The sequence below is a fragment of the Homo sapiens genome, chromosome 17, assembly GCF_000001405.40.
Source record: "Homo sapiens chromosome 17, GRCh38.p14 Primary Assembly".
Lineage (NCBI taxonomy): Eukaryota > Metazoa > Chordata > Mammalia > Primates > Hominidae > Homo > Homo sapiens.
In genome coordinates this window covers 57,343,930-57,371,702 of record NC_000017.11, presented here as the reverse complement: position 1 = coordinate 57,371,702, position 27,773 = coordinate 57,343,930, and the positions used below count along the sequence as shown (strand labels likewise).

Below are 27,773 nucleotides of genomic sequence, written 5' to 3'. Positions count from 1 at the left end.
TCAATAACAGGCTTTGGTCAAATAAAGTATAATTGTAAGTCACAACACCACATAGACAATAAAAACCACAACATAAAAACAGTGAATGAGGAAAATATGATAAAGTTATAAAGGCAGGTTAGCCAATGATTTGTGTGTGTGTGTGTGTGTGTATACCTGTGTCTCTATATAATTTTTTGCCCTTTTTTTTTTTTGCCATGAAAAAGGACAGAAAAAAATGTACCGAAATGTTCATAGCAGTTATCTCTGAATGGTAAATAGTGGCGTTGGGGGGATTTTTACTTAGTTCTTGCAGTTTTCCAAAATTTTCCCAAGTGTTTGTGATTGGAGGAACATGGCAGAAGCAGTAATCAATGTTCTAAATAAACAAACTGCCCAAGTCTCTCCTTTCTGTAAACGTCTAAGTTGGAGTTAAAAACATTTTTATCACAGACCAATCTCGTAATTTTACCCCATCAACTGGCTGAATGGAATAAACATTACAACCTTGCCATGTTTTGTGGCTGGAGTGGTGTTTTATTCTGTTTTTTAATTAATTAATTTGAGTCACGAGCATTTGAGATGTATCTATTTTACGGGGCTGAAATTTACATTTATCTCCTTTTTAAAAGCCCATTTAGCAAATTAACAAGAAAACAGCAACACTCAGGGAAGATACTGAGCCTACTGCATGCGTCATATATAAAAGAGCGACTATATAATTGACCTTACAGGATTCTCCTGCGGATCAAATCAGATTGTCTTGTAAGGAACTCTGGAAAAAATAAAATGCTATATAAGTCACAGTGAAATATTAACATTAACATTTAAAGTCCAGCTGTTTGGTGACTTCAACACAGGGTTTCTTCACTCTAATAAGGCCATTCATGTCTGAGCACCAGGGATCTGTGCATCCTGACCCTCAGTGCAAAGCTGTATGTGGCTGTGTTGTAGCGCAAGTCTCTGGGTAAAGGGTCCATAACTTTCCCAGCATGATCCCTGGGCCCAGTCAGGTTAGAAACACAGCTCACAGAGGTTAAATCCATCACCTGGTGCTGAGGAGTGTTACCTAGCCATCAAAGCAGGCGTAGCAGAATCTCAACTTAAAACCTAACAGAAACATCTTGTGGTCAACTGGCCATCATTGAATCCCAGGAGTCTCATTCCAGTCTTAGGACTAACTCCTGATAACACCCCCAGACCTGGTCTCTGGGCAGAAAAGAACATGAGAGAGCAACAGAGGCCACAGATGGGACAGCAGCCTTGGGTCAAACACTGGAAGGCAAAAGGCCTTTCCAAAGGGCCCTTTCTTGCTACCAGGACTCTGTGATATTGCAAAACAGAATGGCATTTCTTCTATTTGGAAAGATATACGTAATCCTACTCTTTGCTGATTCACACTGTCCTTTTCCACAATCTAGCTGCATTTGTGAGGTTCTGCCTAAATGTTTAAGATATTTCGATTAAAAACGCAAACAGCAGCAACAATCACAAGACCTTAGGCACCAGGGCAGGCCTGGGCAGGAAAGAACACACAGATTCCCCTTCCACTAACCTCAGCTTTCACGGCTACTCAAACCAATGGCTTGAAATTAACTCACTCAGTTAATCATTCAAACTCATGGGCTGGGCAAATTTTAACGTTTCATTGTTGGTTTACAATTAACCCAGCGACAGTGTTTTAAGGTGTTTGATTTTTAATTAGTCTACTGATTTGCCAGTCTGGTTAACAATCCTTTATCCCTGTGCCCTTTATTCTGTCTTCTATTCTTGTTAAGAAATGAAGAGCAGAGATTACTCTGGCTCTTTTCTCCTGGAAACCACTCCAGACTATGGCCCCTTCCTTTCCCAGGGACACAGGATATGGAGTTAAGAACAGAAGGCATGAGGCCTGAACACCAGGATTCTGTGTGACCTTGGGCAAATTAAGGTAACCTCTCTGTGCCTCTGTTTCTTCATCTATAAAATGGGATGACAGCTTTTACTCACAGGAACAGCGTGACCATTAAATGAGATGAGTCACAAAAAACCCTCAGATCAGCACCTGGCACACATGTGGGCCCTGGGCCCCTCTTTTCCCTTCCTTAGTAGTTCAGAAGCTTTACGATTTCTTAATCTGAACATGTCAGTATCTTCCTTTGCAAAACCAAGAGCAGCTGAGAAAGTGTGTGCCCCATGGAATACTTTCTAGGAACAAAACCAGAATGAATTATTCATCAACAGGAGGGTCCCTTTCCCTGGCAGATTTAAGCATGCCTATTAAGTAAGGTCTGTCCAACCTGCTTTATTCCTAAGAGGACAAACAGGCTCAAAGACTCAAGACCCTTCCCAAGGTCATGCTGCTTAGAATCCAAGGTCCCCGAGCTACAACTGGCTGCCCCTCTCATTATGCTGTATTCTTGCCCCTTTCCCCACTGTAGGTTGATAGATGGTGTAAAGAAGGAATGGTATGTGTCCAGTGACACCTGCTGCCATTCTGGCATAGCTGACAGGGTGGCATAACCCTGGCTTGCTGCAGGACAACTGTGACGTCACTCTCAACAAAAGAACCGAAAATGGTACAAACAGCACCCTGTCATTCCCACCACCAGAGGTAAACAATGCTACCAACCATCAGTAGAGCAAAGCACACCTGGGAACTAGCTTCACCAGTATTTCCATAAACCTCACCAAATGACTCTGAGATGCAGCCTATTTTGGAAATTCCCAGTAGAAAAAAATCTCATGGTGAGGCCAGGGTGACCCTATTTCTGACCCCCACAGACTGGGGAGGAAAAGCTGACACACTGATATTTCAGGCATGCCGTTCCTTCCTTCTAGAATGCTTTTTCCTTCCTTGTCTCTCTGGTAAACTTCTATTCATCCTTCAAAACCGAGGTAAGAAAACCACTTGTCTTGAAAGCCTTCCCTGACAATCTCCTCTCCAGCTCACTCACAAGCACCTGTTATCTACCCCTAGAGCTCTGCCTACCTTAGTACCTAGCATATAACTTCAACTTGCCACTTATCTGCCGATATTCTAATTCTGCGGTTCTGAAAATCTTTGATGTCATGACACCTTTTCCCTCTTAAAACATGAGGACCACCAAAGAGAATTATGTGTGTTATATCTCTCAATATTTATCATATTAGAAATCAAAATTGAGACTTTTTTGTTTTTGTTTTTTTGGAGTCACAGTCTCACTCCGTCACCCAGGTGGGAGCACAGTGGTGAGATCTCTGCTCACTACAACCTCTGCCTCCTGGGTTCAAGGGTTCTCCTGCCTCAGTCTCCCGAGTAGCTGGGATTACAGGCGCCCACCACCATGACCAGCTAATTTTTGTATTTTTAGTAGAGACGGTGTTTTGCCATTTTGGCCAGGCTGCTCTCAAACTCCTGACCCCAAGCAATCCGCCCGCCTCAGCCTCCCAAAGTGCTGGGAGCCTCCCAAAGTGCATGAGCCACCACGCTCAGCCAAAATTGAGACATTTTTAAACACAGAAATACACATATTCCATTAGCCACCAGAACTATGATGTCAACAGAGGTCATGTAGCCTATGAAAAATTCTACTGTATATTCATAAAAGGATGAGAATGAAAAACACAAAGTCTTAAAATTATTATTTAAGAAACTTCGTCACAGACTCTTTGAAAGGTTATCAGGAATGCCCAGGGGTCCCGAACCACAATTTGGGTACCACTGTTCTAGTTCATTCATTTAGCTGCTTGAGGACAGGGTCTTTATCTTACATATGTCTGTGAAATGCTTTTGATAACCACCTAAGACCCAGGAACCCTACAAAACCACCTGTGGCTCCCCATCACTGGAAGAGAACTTGCGGCACCCTCCGTCTCCTACCCAGGCCTCCAGGATGCCACACAGCTGTAAGAGGGATGGCCTGGTGGCAGCATGGTACCTCTACACACACAGGCCTTCACAATGGCAACTCCAACCCTCTCTCCCGGAGTGAAGCATCTCTGCAGATAAGCTTCAACTCGGGGGATGAGCACTCATGACATTTATTTATAAAAGGTTTCTCCCTGGAGAATTAAGGGTACCTTGCAGGTAGGGATTTAAGATGCTCTGATTTTCTTTCCACTGATCCCCCTTAATAAGCCTCCAGGGAGGGGCCCAGGAGCTCGGTCTGCTGTTCCTAAGCTACAGGAAAAGCCTGAGGCAGCTTTGAGGAAAGGGGCTGTTCCGGCCCAATGGGGCAGGCCATGGAACCAAAGGCCTCTCCAAGGCCCAAGAGTCTTCCTGAATCCTCAGCCAAGACAACAACATCACAAGGACCAACCGTATATTAACTGCTCACAACATATACCTCATTCAGTTCAGCTGAGATCCCTTCAGAAGGGAAGCAGATGGGAGACACTCCAGACCTCCCCCATCTACTGAGTTAATATTCCACTTGTATCTCCTGATACAACTTAAAATTTGAAGGAAAAAAAAACATTTTAATCACAATTCAGAAAAACACACCCACGCATCTTGTTCACCAAGCGTGAAGCCATTCCCCTCAGTGTAGCTTCGTCTGTGCTCTCCAACAGATAGTGGAGGAGAAGGAAATGTCATTTTCATACCAAAATGCTGCCTCATTCTTCCCCTTCAGGGCCCCTACCTGGGTGTGTGTTTGCAAGTCTAATTTAGATATCACTATTTGTATACACTTTCGAGCTTGGAAAACAAGCCAATAGTTCAGAGGAGCCAAGGCAAACTCAATCTGACAGCCACAGCCCTGACGGCTGCCAAGTCTGATTGACTAGTTGGATATATTTAGATAGGAGAGAGGAGGGGGATCAAACACTGTTGTGCCTCTGAACTCAAGAATACTGTGTTGGTAACGACAGACTAGCAAATAAACAGCCAACAGCCATTCAGCCACATCATCTGGTATCCCAGGCACAGGATCCTCGCCTCCGTAAATTACGTGCAATTTCAAAAGCCACCCACGCTATGGCAAAAATAAATAAATAAAAGGCAATTAGAAAGGGTTCTGCAGTGGCATTCCCCACAGCTACTCGTTAGAAATAAACAAACAAATAAGTAAATATGATCTGTTCCTTGGCTGTCCCCACCTCTTCGCTCCTCCCCTTTGCTTTCCTGTTCCAGGACAACCCGTAGGGAGCAAAGACAAGGCCAAGGGTACCCAGTGAGGTCCTGAGCCCTGGCTGCTGCTTTTGCAAAGGTTCTGTTGTAAACTTGGCCCTCTCCACCTCTACTATATGTGTAAAAATAAAAAGTTAGGGGTTGTCTCTCATTTCTTCTTTCCTTCACGGGGTGGAAATTTAAGAGCAGCATGTGGTCAGAGTTATGAATTACAGAATGTGTCTCCAAGTCTCCAAGTCATTCAAACGTGTGATCCCTTCAGGGGAGGGAAGAGGCGTGAGAAGGGCCCAGGCTGGGGGAGACAGATGCTGTCCAGCACAGAAACCCACCCCACCGGTGGTCTCGGACCTGGGGCCAGCAGATTTACCTTCAGTCCACCTCAACTTCCCCAACTGAAAAGTTGGGATAATAATAGCCAACGCTGGGCATGGTGGCTCATGCTTGTAATCCCAGCACTTTGGGAGGCCGAAACGGGTGGGGCTGCTTGAGCTCAGGAGCTCAAGACTAGCCTGGGCAACACGGCAAGACCCTGTCTCTACTAAGAATACAAGAAAATAGCCTGGCATGGTACACAACGGTGGTCCCAGCTATTCGGGAGGTTGAGGTGGGAGGCTCCCTTGATCCGGGGGAGGCAGAAGTTGCAGTGAGTCGATATCACACCCACTGCATCCAGCCTGGGTGACAGAGCGAGACTCTGTCTCAAAAAAAATAGTCAACATTGGGAAGATTCATTTACTGAGACTCTACTATGTGCCACAATCTGTAGAAGATACTGAGATACATCTAGGAATAAAGTAAGGGTTAGACAAGATGGGCTGTATAAGGTTCTGAACAGCACCAGGTATACTGTCCAGTAAGTGCACAATATGTGGAAGCTCATCTCCCAGGACAACATTCTCTGTTTGCTCATTGCCAGCCTTTCTCACACTATCTCCTCCCCCACATGGCCTTCTATTGGGTCTTCTGGTACACTGAGCCGTGAGCTCACTATCCCCTCTGCCAAGAAGGCTCCTCCCATCCCTCCTAATGCTAAGTCATTTCTCAGAGAAACCCTCCTAATGTCTCCCAGTAGACACTCCCAGGTCACCCTCTACCCTGCCTGCAGAACACCCATCCCAACTTGTACTGATACAGCTACTCATAGGATCCGTGCAGTATCTGTTCCCCACACTTTCCTGTGAGCTCCACGCAGGCAGGAATAGTGTCTTCCTTCACCACTGAACTTCCCCTTAGCATTTAGAAAAGCTAAGGTACCTAATGCATATTTGTTGGTAGAACAAACGAATGGATGAAATAACCATTTAAAGTAGGTAGCCCAGATGTGCTCAACTGCCTCTCCTCCAGCTTTAGAAACATCATGTTTCACAGAACTAGTCCCAAAGCAAGGTATATAAAAAACCATTGTGCCTCAGTTTTCTCATCTGCAAAATGAAGTTCTGGTAAACACCCAAGATCTTCAGGTTTCCTTTCAAATGAAATCTCAACACAGGATACATTTCTCTGCACATGACTGGATGTTTGGAGATCGCAAATATTTTCTTACGAAATAAAAGTAAGTTAGCTGGGTATCTACTATTAACAGACAGGAAGCAAGTTCTGAAAAACAGAGGTTTTTGTTCAGTGTGGTTTTTATTTTTTTAAAGAACAAATAAATTGAGACTTTTGTTTTGGGCAAAAATCCTGTGCCATGGAGGAAGAAAGTCAGCAATGCTAAAAAGGAAAAAGAAAAAAAAAATGAATAAATAAATAACCCAGCCATCTCTGAGCAACACATCCGGGTTAGCAGAGCAGAAAAGGACACACAGGCCCGAAGAAATCCTATTGTTTCTGTTTTTAGGACAAGACTCAATCCCAAAAGGGAGCTTGGGATCACAGGAAAAGGAGCTGGAGGTCTTTCCCACTAAACATTCAGGACCCAACCCTAGGCTTCCCGAATGTCATCTGGGGGAGCTGGGTTGCTTTCTTCTTGCAGCGATGTCCAAGCTGGAGAGGGGAAAGGGGGCATCCTGGAGGTGATGGTTATTGTATGGGTGGAAAACGGGCTTAAACACAAGCCCATTAGAGAAGCAGAACCTTAATTTATCAATTAGACACCATCTGTGGATTGTGTTCCTTGAAATAATTGTTGAATTTGACAATGCATTGCAGCTTTACAAAGTTTCTGCCATCCTTGATGCCGTTTAATTAAATTTCTGCACTTAACTTTGATTGCACTGAAAGCACTGATGCCTTCCACAGATTGAGTTCCTCGGCCACCTGCTGTGTTGGAGCCAAGCGCATTTCCAGAGCAGGGAGAAAAATATGTATTTTATTTTATTCAAAGCCTTGTCTTTTCTCAGCCTTCACCTATAGGGAATGAAAACTCCTGCTGCACAGGAGGGACTGTGTCTCCAAACCCAGCCAGCCGAGCCTTCTGGCCCCTCACCACCTACATGAGGTCTTGCTGTTCTTTTATTGTGTCTCACAGAGAGGGCTAACAAAACAGAATCCCAGACGGTTACCAAACTCAGAGGAGTGGCTTAAAATAGAACACAATAATTATCACATAAAGCAACCAAGAACATAGGTTTCAGGTGGGAGCTGCTTCTAGACCTGAAATCCCCACCTAGAAGGAAAATGCAGGTCAGCACGGGGATGGAGCCCCTTACCTGGGAAGTGGCCTGGGACCTAAGGACCACGTTAGCTGGCTAATATTGACAGACCAGCCTGGGCAGTGCTATATTTTCAAAGGACATCTAGAGGGCAGTTCTCACCTGTCTGGCTTAAGAGAGACATTAACCCCACCCACATAAGGCTTCCCATCAGCCTTCATTTATTATGTTTTGTTGTTGTTGTTGTTTGTTGTTGTTGTTGTTGTTTGTTGTTGTTGTTGTTGCTGCTGCTGTTGTTGTTTCAGACAGAATCTCACTCTGTTGCCCAGGCTGGAGTGCAGTGGTGCCAATTCGGCTCACTACAACCCCTGCCTCCCAGGCTCAAGCAATTCTCATCCCTCAGCCTCCTGAGTAGCTGGGATTACAGGCGTGCGCCACCACACCCAGCTAATTTCTTTACTTTTTAGTAGAGACAGGGTTTCTCCGTGTTGGCCATGCTGGTCTCGAACTCCTGACCTCAAGTGATCTGCCCACTTCAGCCTCCCAAAGGGCTGGGATTATAGACGTGAGCTACCATGCCCAGCCTATTATGTTTTTACAGTGGTAAAATATCCATAACATAAAATCGCCACTCTTTCTGTCACAGAGCTCTTTTTGTCACAGAGCTCCCCACCCCCTTGTGACCTAATAAATAAAGTTGCTGAGTGATGTCATAAGGGGTGGGGAGCTCTATGGATTTGACTGCTCTAGGAACCTCATATAGGAGGAGCCATAATCTCCTTTTGTAACAGGCTGATTTCACTTAGCACGTCTTCAAGGTCCATCCACATTGTAGCATCTATCGGAATTGCCTTCCTTTTCAAGGCTGAATACTATTTAATCATATGTCTATCACATTTTGTTTATCCATTCGTGTATCAATGGACATTTGGGTTGTTTCCACCTTTTGGCTATTGTGAATAATGCTGCAATGTATGTGGGTATACACATGTCTGTTCAAGTCCCTGCCTCCAAATCTCTCATGTATATAACCAGAAGTAGAACTGCTGACCACACAATAAATCTATGTTTAATTTTTTGAGAAACTACCACAGTGCTTTGTACAGTGGCTACACCATTTTATATTTCCATCAGCAACACGTAAGGGTTCCAACAGCCTTCATTTTTAAATGGAAACTTTATAATCATAATTCATGCACTTGGGTTGAACATCGCATCTCCTGACTCTTTTTTCATACAAATATTCTATGAGTAGCATTATACAAAGACAAGCACTTTAGTATGAATTTTTTTTTCAAGTAGAAAATATCAGAGGGGTGGCATGTAAAGAGGGAAAAGAATGGGGGGAAGGCACAGCTCACAGACATAAAGAATAAATCTGGCACTTTTTTCCCCCCTAGAACCACATGGCTCCTCCAACTCAAAGCCTTAAGTTCAAAAAATTTATGGACTAAAACTTCAGAACTGTAAAATAAAATTGTTAGAAAATGCTGTTGCAACAGTTGACGGATCATTACAACAGCCACTTAGCAAGCCATAAACTCACTGGGCAAACAGAATTGGGTCAGATATTAATTTCCACAATGGGAGGGTAACCAGAGACAAGTTACTTCGCCATCTCTCCCTTTTCTGATCATCTGGTGAGCTTCCATTGCAGGAATGCCACAGGATCTTCCGTTTAGGAAATGAAGGCTGCAGTTCCCTCAAATATAAACAAAGACAAGATTTCCCATATCCAACACTATTACCGAACAAAATGGAAGTGCAAATAGAAATATACGTTTAATTTAAATGTCTGAGCCCAGCTCTGTTTCTACAAACTGCAATTTGGTTCCACATTCATTCCCTGGCCATTGAAAGCCAACCTCATTTTGTTTACAAAGATACTGCCCACCACTGGGTTCCGTGCAGTTCCACGAGCCATTCACATATTCTCAGTTCCAGAAGGAAAAGTCAAGACCACAGGCCAACAAGGTAGACCCCTTTCCTAATAGCCAATTATCCCAATCCCAGAGATAAATTCTGGCTTTTCCAGGAGACCTCAGTTTTATGTATTTTCTAGATTTTGACCAAAATAATTTGTAGAAATATGTAAGAAAATGGAATTCCATTTTTCTATCTTTGTAAGCCTGACCATACACATATATAAAATGATCCAGGACAGGGCCTTAGGGCATGTGTTCCAATTTTGGGCTCAGAACGTACAGTCAAACCTTGAACAACACAAGTGTAAACCATGTGGGTCCACTTATATGTGGATTTTCTTCCACCTCTGCACCCCTGAGACAGCAAAACCATCCCTCTTCTTCCTTCTCATCAGCCCACTCAATGTGAAGATAACAAGTCTGAAGTCCTTTATGATGATCCACTTCCACTTAAAGAATAGTAAATATATTTTCTCTTCCTTATGATTTTCCTTTTTTTTTTTTTTTTTGAGACAAGGTCTTGCTCTGTCACCCAGGCTTGAGTGCAGTGGCATGATCTTGCCTCAATGTAACCTCTGCATCCTGGGTTCAAGTCATCCTCCCACCTCAGTATCCTGAGTAGCTGGGACTACAGGCATGAGCCACCATGCCCAGGCTAATTTTTTTTTTTTTATTTTTTGTAAAGACAGGGTTTCACCATGTTATCCAGGCTGTCTCGAACTTCTGAGCTCAGTCCATCTGCCCGCCTTGGCCTTCCAAAGTACTGGGTTTACAAGCATGAGCTACTGCACTCAGCCATGATTTTCTTAACATTTTCTTTTGTCTAGCTTACTTTATTGTAAAAATGCAGTATATAATACATATATAAAGCATGTGTAATCAACTGTTGATGTTATCAGTAGGCTCTAGTTGATGATAGGTTAAGTAGTTACATTTTGGGGTACTCAAAAGTTATACGCAGATTTTCAACTGTGCAGGGGGGCCGTAACCCTTGAGTTGTTCAAGTGTCAACAACATATTAACTGTGCACAACATACCCCCCACTCAGTTCAGCTAGGATCCCTTCAGAAAGGAAGCAGATGGGAGATACTCCTGACCTCCCCATATTCCGAGTTAATATTCCACTTGTTACAATCCATAGCAAATTTTATGGACAAGTTATAACCGTCAGAATTAAGCAGCTCACACAGAAATCTGCATCTTCACCTTAACCATGTGGCATCTACGCATCCCATAATTAGCCTCTGCTGAATGAATATTAAGTTGTACGCAGGTACAAAGGGTCAATTATATCACCAAATGAAGAAAAGAGAAGACACTTGTCTTGGCCTCTGGTTCTGTCTTAAATTAACTTTTAATATTGAACAAAATGTTATATTCGCTCTTCCCATATTCTAAAAATTTCTCTTCTGTGGAAGCAATAAGATATTTTTAAAATTTAATAGAACTAAGAAACTGTAGAAGAATCACTCCATGGGCATAAAGCCTAGTTCTAACATTTTCTCTTCATGGGTTCACACAAAACACTCAGAAACACTGCCCACCTCAGTGCTACCAGATTAAATGAGTTGAGATGCTATGGCCCTCACGGGCCAGGAGAGCATCTGGGGACAAGAGACAAGTCAGCTGTGCAGCTAAAAGTGGAACCTGGAGCCCTTGGACAGCCCCAACAAAGCCAAAACCCTACTCAGCAAGGGAGAGCCCCTAAACCAAGGGCTGACTAGCCTCTCCTAGAGATCAGAGGCTCGGAGAAGTTAGGAAAAGGCAAAACTGTTCAAGAGAAAAAGTTTCACCTATTATACCCCTGGGCCTCAAGCCCTTTCTGATGTGAGGCAGGGTAGAAAATCCACCAATAAACAAATTAAACACACAAGCACGAGCATGTGGCAGCAGCCCAGCTCCTTCCTTAAGTCCTAAAACTGCAGTCTAAGGAAGACCCAGGCTTGCTCCAAGTAGCTGCAGACATCTGGCTTCTGAAGCCCCCATCATAATAAAACATGGGTGCAACCCCCAGTGCCTCCTCGCCTGCTCTGGGCAGCCACTCCCTCACCACACGTGAAGGCACGGAGCTTTCTGGAAAACAGGGTCTACAGCACTTCTCTGGTGCCAAACCCTGGGACACCTGAGGATTTCCTAAGAGATAAGATGGAGGGCCAGGCTCCCTGAGTTGCCTGTGAAGAGTTTCCCAGAATACCCCACATCACAAATAAAGGTGCTGAGTGGCATCACGAGGGGTGGGGAGCTCAGCATAGTGGGTGACAGGCTAAGGCAGCAAATAGGAGAACACTCATAAAGAAATTTTAAACTATATTCATTGCAAAAGAAAGCAGAGTAAGCCAACCATAAAGGAAATGGTAGTGGGGTCACCAAGGGCTCGACAGGGCTTCAGCCAGGGCCTCAACAATTGGGATTTCCGAAAGGGAAGCAGCAATGCCTGCTGTAGCTGCCAGGATCCTATAGTTTGGGGTGTCATCACTTGACCTCAGCCACTGGATGGCAGATGCAATTCCCCTACCCATGACTGGGTACAAACTTTGCCATCAAGTGCTATTAATCTCACTACCAGCTTTTATTGAGGACTCACTCAGACAACCTTGGCAGGGAGGCAGTACTGGGACATCCATTTTATAGTTGAAGAAACTAAGACTCAGACAGGTAAGTCCGCCCCCCAGAATTACAGAATTACAGAAGTTGGTAACTGGACTTGGAGCCTTTGTCTTTCTGACTTTAAGACCCATGCTCTTAACTATCAATCACCCTATTCTATCTCCCTTGTAGCTGAATTCAATAATATTAAAGCTGAATTCAATAAAATTAAATTTTAAAAATAAATAAAGATTAAAATGCCCATATTGAGTTGGAACAAAGATATGCCACCATGAGACCCAGACAGCTTGATGGGCTGGCTCTCAGCAGAGATGTGCCCCACTCCCCAAACCCAAGCAGTGGGACCTAGGGGATTTGGGGAATCGGAGAGAGTGCATAAGATGCAGGGTCATTCCTCCGGGAGTGGCGGGAGAAAGGAAGGGGCCCCTGCCACTGGGATGGCAGGACCACCTGTTCACCTGCTCTGCTGAACAGTTCCCATTCTCCCACCCAAGTTCTGGCCAGCAATGGCATCAAGAGACTTTTGTGGGTGAACAGAGTTGCCCTCTATAAAACCAATCGCAAAGTATAAGGAACAGCCCTCTATAAAACCAATCTCAAAGTATGAGGAACACTCCTCAAAAGATGATACGTTGCTAGGGCTGGGCCCTAGCAACATATCATCTTCGATTTCACCTACAATCTTCTTGACCATATTTACATTTTAACATGTACAACACTTTAGGTACAGACACTTCTATAAAACTGTTAGAAGTGCAATGAAAATCAGCACTTCTTTTATTTGTCCTAAAATTATTTTCCTCAAACCTTGTACTTATGGTTTTCATGGAATTTGTGTGACCTTCCCTCTTTTAACCTCACTGGGCCATTTCATTTGCACAATGAAAGCTTTGATCTAACAAACCTCCAAGGCCCCCTCCAAACGCTAATGACTAGGATCTCACATCCCATATTCACCTTTCTAATACATCACTTTCATACTCAACCTTCTCCAATCTCACTTTTCCAAAAGATCCTTGTACTAGTGATGACTTTCTAGGATGACCATTAGTCCATAAGATGCCTTTGCATGAATCAGAAAAAGATGCTTCCTTCCTTCAAATGGACGCAGCCTGGCCTCAGAGCCTTGAGTCATTCAAGGTGTTACCTGGCAAGCCCTTAACCTTAAATATCATTGCAATCTTCAGAAGAGCCAGCTTCAGCCCATGAATGCAACCACCCAGGAGAAAAAATGCCTGAAGGAGTCATTCTGGTTTTACAGGTACAAATGCTGTCCATAAACACACACACACACACACACACACCCCCCCACACACACAGAAAAACCCACGAAGATCTTTCTCTTCTTCCCTCTGCCCTCAACTTTTCACTGATGCTTTTCTTTAAGGGCAAATAGTTGCCAAGGTCTATAACTGCAAGCTTTGCAACTCCCCGTGGGAGCCAAGCCTGCCAAGTGTGGTGCCTCAAATAGCAGCCCCCAAAGCTGTGGGGTTCACTGAGTATCATTCAAGACAGAAGCAGGAAAGCATGTGTGTGACCACAAGACCTCAGAAAGGAGATGGGGCTGTACAGAGATCCTGGCTGGATGATCAAGTCACTAAGGTCAAAGGTAAGGGCAAAGACTCAGTCAAGAGAAACAACAGAGCACCTTCAGCTCATCAAAAAAAAAGATTAATGTATTAATCGGAACACTAAGCATTTCTCCCTTGAGTATTTTCTCTTCCTATTTACTGATCAAATCTTTGTGAATGAAAGCACAATCCTCTTACTGGATCAAGAACGACACATACACAAAAGCCCCTCAACTGAAAAATCAAGTCGGGCAGGTCATGATTTCACCTTTATGTGAACAGGATGCAACCACAAAGGCCTGGATAGGGAGCTGGTGGCGCAGCTCCCACCAGCGTCATCGTTAATAAGTAAGCAGCAGCGGCCTATGCAAAGCTCTCCTCGCCCTGGCAAGCACACTGACCAGGTCTGAGCAGGCACGACCCAGCGGTGCCAAGAAAGCACAAGGTCTGGGGCAGAGCAGGAGGGAGGGGAGGTGTCTGTGTGCTGCCGAATGAAGCTCAAGTGGCTGGATCCAGCTCCGAAGGCCAGAAGCTCTAAGCAGCCCCTTCTACACCACACCACCCACTTCCTAATGTTGTTTTTCCCACCGGCGGTGGACTCTGACTCTGGGTGGCCTTGGGGGTCCTGGAGCTTAAGACCATGCAGAAGCTGTCACTCGGGAGACCAGAAGTTCAGAAGTAGGAGCTGCAGCCGCCTGGGTCTGTGGTTCTTGGCTGCCCCGAGAGGCAGTTCCTCTGCTTGGGGAGAAAGCAGGGTCTTTGTGGCAGTGAACAAGGCTGTCCTCAAGGAGAAACGGGGCCAGAGCTGCTTTGTTTTCTCAGGAAGGCCTGAATCATTAAGGAGAGAGCAAGCTCTCGAGCACACAAGATGAGAACAAATCAGCCCCGAGAAGCGGGGAAGGGTCTACTGAATGGGCCCTGGGCAGCTGGCCTGGGAGGTGCAATGTTGGAGCGTCTCAACCGGTCCAAAATAACCACACCAATTTGCACACGAATAAGCAAACACAAAACCCCAAAGCGAGGACATTCAAAACCGAAAGCAGCTGCTAATCACCTGTTTAATTTTTTTTTTCTTAAATTAGCTGCAACGAAGAATTTTCAAACTCTCAAATACAATACACGGCTTAACATTTTCATACACCTGTAAAACCAGTAAGTTAAATCCCATTACAAAAGACTCCAACTTATAAAGGAGCAGTTCAAATACAGTTCTTATCAAATATAAACAATGGAAAATGATTTAGGCATAAAACATCAGTCACTGGAAATTAACATTTGAAAAAAATTTTTTTACATAAAAACCATCTGTGTATTGAGATGGTGCACTCTGCTAAACCACAGGCCTAATTAGGAAACTAGGAACCAAGGCATTACAGAGCAATGCATTAAGTTTTGTGTGTTTTCGTCTTTGGGGGAGGGGGGATCTTGCTGAAATCTTATCAATACTGTGTTGTTCTTTCTTCTCTGTACATCTAAAATGATGTCTATGTCGGATTGCTAAGAGTGCTTTTGGCTGACAGACAAAACACAACTTGTCTTAGTCTGGGGTGGTTCTCCCTGCTGACGTCCCCACCCAAGGATAATCTGCTTAAGAGTCCAACCAGGGCATCAAAGTTATCAAGAAGATAAAAATGAAGAAACATGCCCGCCAAAAAAGAAGTTATGCAAAGAGGGGAGATCTGGTATGTGTGGGTAGTAAGGTCCAGAATTAAACCTTTCTTTCCCCGTCACTCTCTTTCCTAAGCAAAAGATTAAAAAAGACTGGCCAGGCACGGTGGCTCAAGCCTGTAATCCCAGCACTTTGGGAGGCTGAGGCGGGCAGATCACCTGAGGTCAGGAGTTCGGGACCAGCCTGGCCAACGTGGCGAAAACCCAACTCTACTAAAAACAGAAAAAATTAGCTGGGCGTGGGGGTGGGTGCCTGTAATCCCAGTTACTTGGGAGGCTGGGGCAGGGAGAATTGCTTGAACCCGGGAGGCAGAGGTTGCAGGGAGCTGAGATTGTGCCATCGCACTCTAGCCTGGGAAACATAGCCCATGTCCTAGCCTGGGAAACATAGCCTATGTCATCTAAATGCCACTTTACATCTTCCAAAGTATTTGATGGATATCTTAGTTGATGCACCCAGCTCAGAAACTAAGTCTCAGAAAGGTTAAATGGCACATCCAGGGTCACAGAGCAAGTTATTAAAAGGTGAGCCAGAGTCTGGAACCCGCCAGGCCCTGCCTGCCCCCATGGCCTCTCAAAATAGCATTGCCAGAACAAGGGAGGGGGTTTGGCCCAACCCTCAGAGCAAAAGAATCATGTGGTCATGATCAGTGGTAACCACGAAAATCAGCATGTGATTATAATTCAGGAGTCTGTGTTTTGAGGGTAAAGACACCAGTTCCACTTGAGTTTTGGCACGCATCCCTAACAGAAAGGTCTGAGGCAGAAAAGGAAGAGAAAAATAAGGGAGACCAAAGAGGACAGACCAAAGCTGGACATACACTGTTGTGTCTGTTCAGCACCCCTGTCTTCAGGGAACCTACCCAGTTCCAAGGGACTATCCATCACAGACTGGTCCAAGGGCTGGACCTGTGACCTAAGCAAGGCCAATCAGGGAACTTTCCTGACAGTGATATGCAGATGCTGAAAGAAAGCAGTACTATTTCCATGGGAGCTGCCAAGCTCCTATGTGCATCCAGAATCCTGACGGCCACTTCACCAACTCATGGAAAACATTTACGTGCAAAAGGAGTGAATGAGGCCAACCCACAGAGAAAAGGAGAGAGGAGAGATGAGGGACAGAGAGAGCCATGGTGACATCACCGGAGCCCTGGGACCAGCTGTGACAAAACCAGGAAAACTCCTGGACTTTACAGTTATGTGGGCCAAGGTATTCTCCTTTCTGGTTGGGTTCCTTTGAGTTGGGTTATTTGAAACCAGAAGGATCCTGACTTATGACACAGAAGACAATCTTAAAAATATGCTGGTCACAGACTCCACATTTTTCAGACTATCTTTATTTTCAACACTCAGTTTTGTGGCCCCATAAAACCACTTCCACTCTTGCCTTCTAGAGTCTACTCTGCCCAGCAGCTAGAGAGATCTTCTCCAACAGTTAATCATACTGCATCATTCTCTGGCTGCTCGAATCCTTCCAACAACATCCCATCGCATGCTCCTTTGTATTAATACAAGCTCCCAGGCTCCTTGTATCTGGCCCCTGCCTCTCTCCTCAAACTCCTCTCCCACCCCCTTCCTCATCACACCCTCTCTGCTCTCACCTGCACTTCCTGGAGGTTCACACTTATCAAGCTTTCTCCTATCTCAAGATGTTGCCTCTGCTGCTGCCTCACCTAAAGTTCTGGCGACCATTCCCTCCCTTAGTTCAGATCTCTATCCAAATATCACCTCCCAGAGAGACATCCTTTAAACACCCCTCCCCCACCTGGAATCAAATTTTATATTCACTTATCATCTCTCTTAGAATGTAAGCTCTCCCAGGGCATTGACCTTGACCATCCTGCTCACTTCTGTATTTCTATTGCCTGGCCTCTCTACCACTATTTATTAAATACACAAAATTCCAGTGTTGTGGCATTCAAACACCTTCCCAGCCATTCAAAGAGCAACATGGGGTCCTGGGCCATACCACGTCCTTACACTTTCCACACCAAAACTAACATCACCAGAGCTATGCTACTGACTAGGGGTTGGCAAACTATAGCATGCAGTCCACATCAGGTCTGCCATCTGTTTTTCTCTTACCTGAGAACTAAGAATGGTTTTTACTGACAAACATCTATAACTGACTTGATAATAGAAAACAGTAACTTTGTACTCCAATTCAGCAAAATGTTATGCCCCCTGAAACAAAATCCATTCTTCTCATTAGCAAATGTGTATTTTAAAAAACTGTACTCAATAATTGTCATTATATTTTGAATTTCATCAGTAAAAATTCTCCGTAAATGTTTTCTCTCTTGTTATGTTAAATACCTACACAAAATCCTCAATATTGCATCCTGATCCCTGAAAGCCTAAAATATTTACTATCTGGACCCTTTACACACATAAAAAAAAAGAGTTTGCTGATCCCCATGACAGACTTACTGCTCATGGATGGGGGAAAAGGAGACTTAATAGGTCAGTCCAACCCCTGCACCATCCAGGACCAAAATTAATGAGGAAACAAGAGAACCAGGTCTTCGAATACTCTTAATGTTCTGAGACCCAAGGAAAAAATTATAATCAGACTAAATCTTCAATCTACTGGTACTGGAAGCTCTTAAATTCAAGGACCCTCCAGAGGAAATAGATACTTTGACTCAGCAAATGCTCCTACAAGAGAAATGGCATCACTGGTACCACCTACATCTCCACCAACTACTCCCTAAATAACAAAGGAAATAAGAGTCTACGATTTCCCTTAGAATATCTTAGGTAAATGTCTTAGGAGCTCCTCCACTATCTGTTCCTAACTGAACCATGTATCAGTGCACCAAGTCCATCTTTAGCCTTGTGTCCTCCTGGGCACACAAGTCCTTAGTACAACCCCAAGAAAACCCAAGGAATCACATCGAATCAATCAAGCCTCCATCCAATGTGGAAGTCACAGCCATGCCTGCTTTACACCTACCCACAGTTGGTCCAAGGAAGACTTAAACAGGAGCAGTGGGTACAAGTGAAAACCCACTCCCATTTGGTCAGTACAACTCCGATAATGGTCTGGGGAAACACAGGAGGCCAGGCTATACTTGAGTTGCCAGAAAACTAAAGGAATGAAAAGTGTCCTTCTCTGGAGGAGAGCGCATTTTCGGGAGCTATCTGGGGAAAGATGGGCCAATGAACTGTTGATATTCAAATCATCATTAAATGACTCAACTTTCCAGAAATAAAAGGCGTCACAGTGGGAAATTCTCCATCTTGACTTTTTTAAAGCTGCAGAGCAGAGAACCGATTAATTTTTAAACATTTCTTTAAAATTACAAGAGTCACCCTCACCCAGTCCAGTCATTACTAATTTCCTACTCTCCACACCCTGATCCTTAACACCGCCCTGTGAAATTGCTCAGTGCCCAGCAGGGCTGAAGCAGCAGAGGAGGAGGCTAGGAGGAGCCCTTCTCCTTCTGGCCAAGGCAAACTGGTAGCCAGAGGGATTCCATCCAAGTTAAATCCACATGGACCAAGAAGAGACCAAGAAGCTTGAACATAAGAAACTGGCTCCTTCAAGACCACAAACCCTGTCTAGGTACAGCCTTTTAAGGTGACAATTATTCAGGGATTGGCTGATATTTATTCCTCTGACCCTACCCTTTATCTTTCTTCCAGGGTCCCTCAACACCTCCTCCTAAAATCACAGACCTTTGTGAGCATGGAAGAGCAAGAAGAAACACAGAGCTGCTCAGTGTGTGAGTCCGAACAAACCTGTTCCCATTTAGGAATCAGGGTTCCACCCTCCTTCACCTGGGAGCTCCTCTTCATCTGCTTCCCTTCTCTTTTCCGCCAAGGTCTTAGAGTCCTATTTCCTCCCCTACTTCCTTTATAAAATAAAAGGAACAAACATCGAGTCCTCTATTCAGACATCTAAGTTCCAGAAATCAAAAGAATAAATAGGAAGGGCGGCCACAGATTTCTCTACTTGGGAAAAATACCAAAATGGTCCTAGGTCCCAAAACAGAGATGGTAGCCCAAGACTTTACACACTGGTGAACCTCAGAGTAGACCACTAAAGAAGAAACCATCCAGGTTCATGACTTAACATCCAGATTCATTTACGTGACATATACTTGTTGAGTGCCTACTTGGTGCAGACACTGTGCTGGAAGTCAACAGCAAACCAAAGAGATAGGAAAGGCCGACTTTCCTGCGACTTATATCCAGTACCTCCAGTACCTTATGAATATGAAAGGGAACCAAAGAATGAGAAGCTGACCTGCCTCACACCTTCCTCTCAGTGTTTCTTCACACAATGTATGTTCTCATTCATTCATTGTCTCACTCATCTATCCATTCATTCATTCCATCAAGTATACACTGAACACAAACTTTGTGTGTGTGTGGTTTTTTGGGGCTGTTTGTTTTTGTTTTGTGTGTGTGTGACACAGTCTCACTCTGTTGTCAAGGCTGGAGTGCAGTGGCACGATCTCGGCTCATTGCAAACTTGCCTCCTGGGTTCAAACGCTTCTCCTTCCTCAGCCTCCCAACTAGCTGGGATTACAGGCATGCGCCACCACACCCAGCTAATTTTTATATTTTTAGTAGAGATGAGGTTTCGCCATGTTGGCCAGGCTGGTTTCAAACTCCTGACCTCAGATGATCCACTCACCTAGGCCTCCCAAAGTGCTGGGATTACAGGCATGAGCCGTTGCACCTGGCCATACACACAAACTTTGAATCAGGCATTGAGCTAAGTAGGTGGGGGCTCCAGAATTTATATAAAACAGGGGCTTAGGAGCAGCACCCTTCTAAGTGGGAACAGGCAGGGGGCTGAGGATTTGTTTCAAAGCTATACAAGCACTCAGTTTTGGCTTAGATGGTGTATTTATTTGTGGTGGCTAGGAGGTGTTGATGAGGACTGGGGAGGGCAACTAAGCCCTAGTCCCAGCACCCCACTATGATGGGCCCTGGGAATACTGGAATGACATGGCTAGTGCCCTTACTGAGCCTACACTCCCACAAGAGAATGTGGGTGTGCTAGTTACTTTCTGCTTGACCCTCCAGAACCATCATCTGCTCTTTTCCTCCCTGCTTGTGCCTTGCAAGACTGACCTCCCTAGAATGGTCTCCTGGTTTCCGGTTGGGCTTGGCCAATGGAAGACACTATCAAGAGAAGGTGGGAAGAGAGAAGTTGAGGCAGTGATGCCCCTGCTTGCTGGGCCTCACTCCTCCTCGGCCACAGGTCCAGTTGGGAACCTCCACAACAGCTGAATTTCAGTACCTGCTCCCTCCTCTTGCCCCTCAGGCCTAGGGGTGGTTAGCCTGCTTAGCATTGCTGATAACCCTGAGGAGCTTCATCCTTCCTTGCTGAACCTTTAACCCTGTCTACACCTCTGTAAACAATCCCCTCATTCAATCTTCTCAAGTACCCCCTCCCATGAGGTGTCTGTTTCCTACAGAGACCCTAGCTGATACGATGACAGTGGGTGAACAAAAAGTCTAAAACGTGCCATGGTATTGACAGAGAGGAGCACAGCCTAGCAGGCACAGGAGGAGGAGGCAGAGGGGATCAGGAGGCGCTCAGAGACCAAGTGATGCTGAAGCCAAATTGACAAGATGGGGTTGAGCACTTTCCGGGCCAGGGATCCCCTGCGCAAAGGCAGGGAAGCATAAACAGCCAGTGTGATCAGGGCACTGCCAGTGGCTCAGTGTGGTGGGGTGTGAGAGGGAGAAATGACCCTGCTGGGGAGGAGGGAGGAACACACCACGGCCACCCTCCAGGCCATGCAACAGCACTTGGACTTTATCCTGAGGCAATGGGCGGTCTCCAAAGGCCAATCACATGGAGAGGCCATCCAGTACTCCAAGTGTTTCCAGACACATCCCTTCCTTGCACAAACCGAAAATTGGCATTCATGCAGGACAAATAAACATAATCCCTACAACGGCTATTCCAGAGCACCATGTCTGGACTCTAAGGCAAAAAAATAAAAGCTATCAGCCCATTACATATGGTCCACAGTAACATCCTTCTATGAACACACACACACACACACACACACACACACCCCTACCTCTGGCACTGTTAACAATAGGCTTTGGAGCATTAACAACCTCAGGTGAAAACAAACCAGTCATTAACAACAGATTCTGAGAAGATTACAACCTAAATAACTATCACTGGAACACGTAAGTTACTTAATATAAAGTGGTTCCATATGGTTCATTTATAATTCACACAGCGCCAGGCAGCAAGAACCCATCAGATGACACCTACTGGTGTCACCAGATATGCTTTAATCTTTCCAAAAGGGCAGCAAAGGAGGATGTATTTGAGAGATTTTTCAGGTACTACTGGGTTCTAGAATATTCTTAGAGTAAAAAATTATTTCTTGGCTTCCCAACCGTCACCTCTCCTTTGAGTTTTTCAGTATATATCTTCCTGAAATTGGCTTTAAAAAGCTTCAAGGAGAAAAAATTTTGAAGTGTATCTGCTTGCTAAGCTTACCATGACTAATGTTAACTCTTTTTGTGTGGTTCCTGGTTGTGAGCAGACAGGCTGGAACTAAGCACACATGTGCAGTGCACCAACTTGACTCCTGTCATAAAACTGATAAAAGGTGATCTGTTCATCTTCTTAAGTACTCTTAGCACTATTATTCATGACATGGTACTTAGACACAAATGTACACAATTCTAAAGCAGATCATTCAAGTATTTCATTTTTCCTCATCTTTCTTCTTCCCCCAGTACATATAATTGACATACACATATGTTGAGAGCTTTCCTATATTTCTTTAATCACTGTCAGGATCACTCATAAATGTTAATTAAGAAGAAGATTTAAACGTTACTCCTCAACTGTGCCAAATGGAAAAACTTTGAGTTTACCACACGCTTCTCATGAGCATTCGTTCTCCGTGAGTGTTCATGCTGCCCTATGCCTCTCTAGTGAGCTCAGGGATGGAAGCGCACGTGCACACACACACAAACACACACACGGAGACACACACTGAAAATCCCCGGGCTGCTGGGTCAGGAGTCGGGCAGCAGTGACCAAAAGGGAGAAGGCAGTGAGCTGAGGAGAATCCCAGTAACAGGAGAAGGAAGGGCTCCGAGACGAGAGCCTGGAGTCCTCATCCCAGGCTTCCAACCCCGAGGCAGAAGACAAGTGGTCAGCCAGGAACCATGGAGGAGGGCAGCCCGAGAATGCTCTTATTTCAGGAACTTCAGGAAGGCTTCTCTGTGCCCCTAAATATCTCCTTAGTCTACTGGCCAGGACTTGAAGCCTTAAACCAGAGATAAAGCTTTTCAGTCCACAATTTGAGATAAAAGGCTTGGACAGCACCTGGGAGAGTTAACAGGCACGAGTGTAAATAATATCAGATCTTTCCTAATTCAGAAAGTAACAGAAAGCTAAGAAGCCAGAACACCCTGAGAGGGGATGTGAGTTGGGAAAGAGAAGGACACCAACCTAAGAATGTCACCATTCTCCCTATAGGTCATTGGGTTAGTCCATTTTTGCATTGCTATAAGGAAGTACCTGAGGCTGGGTAATTTATAAAGAAAGGAAGTTTTTTGGCTCGCGGTTCTTCAGGCTGTACAAGCATGTTGCCCACATCTGCACGGCTTCCAGCGAAGGCTTCGGGAAGCTTCTAATCATGGCGGAGGGGGAAGGGGAGCCAATGTATCACATGGCAAGAAAGGGGGCAAGAAGGAGAGGGAAGAGGTGCCAGGCTTTTTAAACAACCAGCTGTCATGAGAACTCATAGAGTGAGAACTTACTTATGACTAAGGGGATGACACTAAGTCATTCCTGAGGGATCTGCCCCCTTGATCCAATACCTCCCACTAGGCCCTACCTCCAACATTGCAAATCACATTTCAACATGAGATCTGGAGAAGACACATATCCGAACCACATCAGTCATCCTCCCTGGGTACAGAAGTGAGCTGAACACTAGAACTCCTGAAACTGAGCAGTGGCCTCTTGTCCCAAGGGACAACCCAGGCATCCATCACTCCCTGCCTGCCTCCTGTGACTCCCAACTCAACCCCTAGTCTAACCACCCTCATACTCCTTGGACTACCATAGATATGTCCAAGTGAGATGTATCACAAGCAACTTGTACCACTAGGAAGGTGCCAAAGCATGCACAGAACTTAGCATTTAGAAAGGCAGAGTAGAGTCTTCCTACAGCCACGTCACCTTCTCTCCCCTTCTAATGCGATGTGTGCATCCATGAGCAGATGAGAAAGGCTGGACACGCAGCGCAGCACAAGGGCACCGTGCACACAACTGTGCAAATGACCTGTGAGCTCCCGCAGGCAGAGACCAAATGCACTTACCTTGCTCACCGCTCTATCGCCATAGTCAGCCCAGGGCCTGGCAAAGGGCACAGCCTCTGAGTGTTGGTTCAGTGAACAGAAGAAAGAAGAAATGGTCAGATACGTGGAAACCCAATGTCCTGAAAAAGACTGAAGGATCGCTGAAATGACTTGAGAAGGAGTTGCTAACATCATCGACTCCAGCCAATTCCACGGAAGCAGGTATTGTGGAGAACCTAGAGACAAACCTACTCTACCAAGAGAGAAACCAGGACAAAATTTCCACTTCTTTGCTTTCAGGGGGGTAGAAATCCCAGGGAGTGACCTCGCTGAACATCACATGTACAATCGTGAAGACAGAACAACTCCAATATAAGTACCATGGGTTTCAACATACATGATGCTGAGAGAGAAACGCAAGACAGAAGCATGTACATCTGTACTCCAATAATGCCTGCATGAAGGGGTCTGAACACATGCGGATGGGGCTGGAAAGCAATGAGACCCACAGGCAGGATGATGGGTAGATGTGTTTCTTTTCTTCACTTAAAATTTGAAAAGTGGTGCTATAATGCCACACTCATTATTTTAAAATAACGGCTAAGATCATTTTAAAAGAGCTATTTTGGAATACAGGTCTCATAATTCAAATCTTGATAAGATGGTACACTGTGGGGTGCTCTGATAATTCCCACTTCTTTCTACAATGCTAGTCTGAAACACACTGCATCCTTATTATCTATGGCAACCTAAGGGCCAGGGCTTCTAGAACTCATTTCCAGGAACAATGGTGAGGAAGGGTATTAACTAATAGCTGCTTAATTAAGAAGTCACTACAGTAGAGTGCTGGGAAATTTTCTATTTGGAACTCCATGAAAAGACATAAGCATAACTGATATGTGTTTGATCTGCCTAAGATGCAGCCCTGAATCTTTAAGGCATTATCTTAAAGATAACCAGAGTAAATGTAAACTGTGCACACACACAAACATATATATGTTTAGCCCTACTCTGTTCGATTACCTATTCTGTTTAGGTTTTGTAAAAATAGGACACTTTGGCTGGGCACAGTGGCTCACACTTGTAATCCCAGCACTTTGGGAGGCCGGGACAGGCAGATTGCTTGAGCTCAGGAGTTTGAGACCAGCCTGGACAACATGGCAAAACCCCATCGCTACAAAAAATAGAAAAATTAGCCAAGCATGGTGGCGTGTGCCTGTAGTTCCAGCTATACAAGAGGCTGAGGTGGGAGGATCGCCAGAGCCCAGGAGGTTGAGGCTACAATGAGCCATGATCGTGCCACTGCATTCAGTCAGAATGCAGTGAGACCCTGTCTAAAAAAAAGAAAAGAAAGAAAGACACTTTGCAAAATGTTCTGCTAATGATTTAAACAACAAAAAAAGAAAGATTATTTATTGTTCTTCAAAGCATTTAACTCACCCAGCTTGGACTACACTTATTCACATTTTTATTTTATTTCCCCATATGACTCAGCTCTTTCTCAAACCCCCGGAAGGCTCAGCCTCAGTTTACTGCACATTATCAGAGCAAAGGGGTAGATCAATGAATTCCATGGGTTTACATCTTCATTAAGAAAAAAATCAGACCCCCCCCCCCAAAATGTGTTATTTACATGTCTCAAGTCCTGTTAAAAATAAGGATGAGAAGGGGTTACTTCGCTGTTAAACTTTTTAAACTTCAAAATGCTGCAATTTCTATGCAATTCTCACGAAATACAAGTGAGCAAGTGGTTTCTCATTTATAGTAATGATGTAAAGTTTTCTTACAAAATGTTTTTATGGTGATAAAATAAATCAACAAAAAGAAAAGTATTAAGTAAATAATAATACATGTAGCAGGTGGATATAGAGAAAATCACAGAAGTGATAAATAACAACATTTGCAGGATATGGACCTAACATTTTTCATCTCTCACCTTTCACCTTCTCTTTCTCCGTCTTGTTCAACCGCTACCTACCTATTGATACATTTCAAAAAATAAGATGCGACTGTTACAAGCAAGAGGAGCCTACGAAGACAGGGCTATTAAATGTAAATGATGTCCTAGAACAGAAAAAGGACAGTAAGGAAAAACTAGGGAAATTGGAATAAAGTCAGGCATTAGTTAATTTTTTTTTTTTTTTTTTGAGACGGAGTCCCACTCTGTCGCCCAGGCTGGAGTGCGGTGGTGTGATCTAGGCTCGCTGCAACCTCCACCACCTGAGTTGAAGCGATTCTCCTGCCTTAGCCTCCCGAGTAGCTGGGATTACAGGCATGCACCACCACACCCGGGTAATTTTTATATTTTTAGCACAGACAGGGTTTTACCATGTTGGCCAGGCTGGTCTTGAACTCCTGACCTCAGGTGATCCACTCGCCTCAGTCCCCAATACAGGCGAGAGCCACCACATCCAGCTGGACTTTAGTTAATTTTTAAAAATAATAAGATGCTTTAAAGAGTATATGCTACACTACCTCTTATATAAGAAGGGGAAATAAGAAAATATACATATATCTGTTTATCTTTACAAAAAGAAACACAAGACAAATCAGAAAAGGGTGAGGTTGGTTACCTCTCAGGGGTTGGGAAACAGGGAAGGAGAGATCTAGATATGGCAGCAGGGCTTCTCTCAGTAAACTTTTAAACACACATGAATGTCCCATATATTAAATAAAATTAAATTAACAAGGATGGGAAGGGAAAAGGAAGAAAACCCTGAAACTGACAGCAAACCATAACCACAGTGCAGGTGGGAGGGAGGGAAGAGGTAATCCAAATGACTGAGGAACACACGGTTGAACTATGCACCCTAGGTCTTTAGCTGGGATGGGGGTGGTTGTCGGATGCAAGAGAAATGCAAACAAGCCTTGAACCCTTCCTTTTTAGTAGGCCTTTTTTTTTTGAGACGGAGTCTCGCCCTGTCGCCCAGGCTGGAGTACAGTGGCACAATCTCGGCTCACTGCAAGCTCCACCTCCCGGGTTCAAGTGATTTTCCTGCCTCAGCCTCCTGAGTAGCTGGGATTACAGGCACATGCCACCATGCCCGGCTAATTTTTGAATTTTTAGTAGGGACGGGGTTTCACCATGTTGGTCAGGCTGGTCTCGAACTCCTGACCTCGTAATCCACCCACCTCGGGTAGGCCAGTCTTTTGTAGTGGAATGGGCAAGCCACTCTGGCTCTATTTTAGACGTATTAAGGATTGAGCAAACTAGTAAGTGTGGATTGAGCAAACTTGGAGGTGTGGTGTGAACCCATGATTTCCAAAATATGTATGTATATGATGCATGGACATGCCCATGTATCTGTGTGTATATGTGTACACTCATGTTTCCTATATCTCTCCACTGAAATGGCCTAGAGACGAAGACACTCCAGTAACATTGAGCAAAGACGCTCTAGTAACCTTCTTATCTTGGTCTCTAAATGCAATCCCCACTACAAGAAACCAGCTCCTTGGAGAAGTGAGTAACTCCAGGTCTGGAGCAGGGGAGACACAAGATGAGCTTGGAACACCTTGTTATGCCAGAAAGTAAAGAAGTGCTTAAAAATAAACTCCGGCGCAGGATCATGTTGTAGGGAATCAGAATGAAGGGCCTCCCACTGGCCAAGTGTGGGCCAATTTGAGCACCAAAATTGTTATGTACAGTAATGATTATAAGCCATTGAAATACTAGGACTCCATGGGTCCATATCTATAAGAAATAGATTTTAAAATTAGTGGGTAAGAAGGAGGGGATCTTGCTTACCGCAGATGCCAAGGGCCAAGTGGTAAATAAAGAGGGGATGTAGGAATTAGAAAATTATTTTGTAACCATTGCTGTAAAGACTAGATCAGGCAAGAATCATCAGTGAATGCTAGCTTTCAGAGGAAACTTCCATGAGGAACATCTTAAAGCATCTCCCCACAGACTGCTTCTTCGTTGCAAGACAAAACATAGTAACTATACAGTGGAGAAATCTAACAACACCTTGACCAGGTGATCAAAGAGAGGCAGATGGACATCAAGTGCTCCAGATGCGATACCCTGAGAAGG

The 27,773-nt window shown here is 44.6% G+C and overlaps 1 protein-coding gene across 10 annotated transcripts in view, besides 2 other annotated features; it reads right to left on the bottom strand.

Moving 5' to 3' along the window:
• Positions 1 to 27,773, bottom strand: part of MSI2 (musashi RNA binding protein 2) — a 445,731-nt gene that overhangs the window by 329,879 nt on the left and 88,079 nt on the right. The gene's annotated exons all lie outside the window — the stretch shown is intronic.
• Positions 7,346 to 7,589: a silencer, noted in NCBI's record as "fragment chr17:55441475-55441718 (GRCh37/hg19 assembly coordinates)". NCBI's record gives its function as "represses an EF-1alpha promoter that drives an FKBP-Casp9 reporter gene in an ReSE screen in K562 erythroleukemia cells {active_cell/tissue: K562}" and the evidence as "EXISTENCE:reporter gene assay evidence [ECO:0000049][PMID:32094911]".
• Positions 16,702 to 16,751: an enhancer, noted in NCBI's record as "active region_12430". NCBI's record gives its function as "activates an Ori minimal core promoter by ATAC-STARR-seq in GM12878 lymphoblastoid cells {active_cell/tissue: GM12878}" and the evidence as "EXISTENCE:reporter gene assay evidence [ECO:0000049][PMID:35858748]".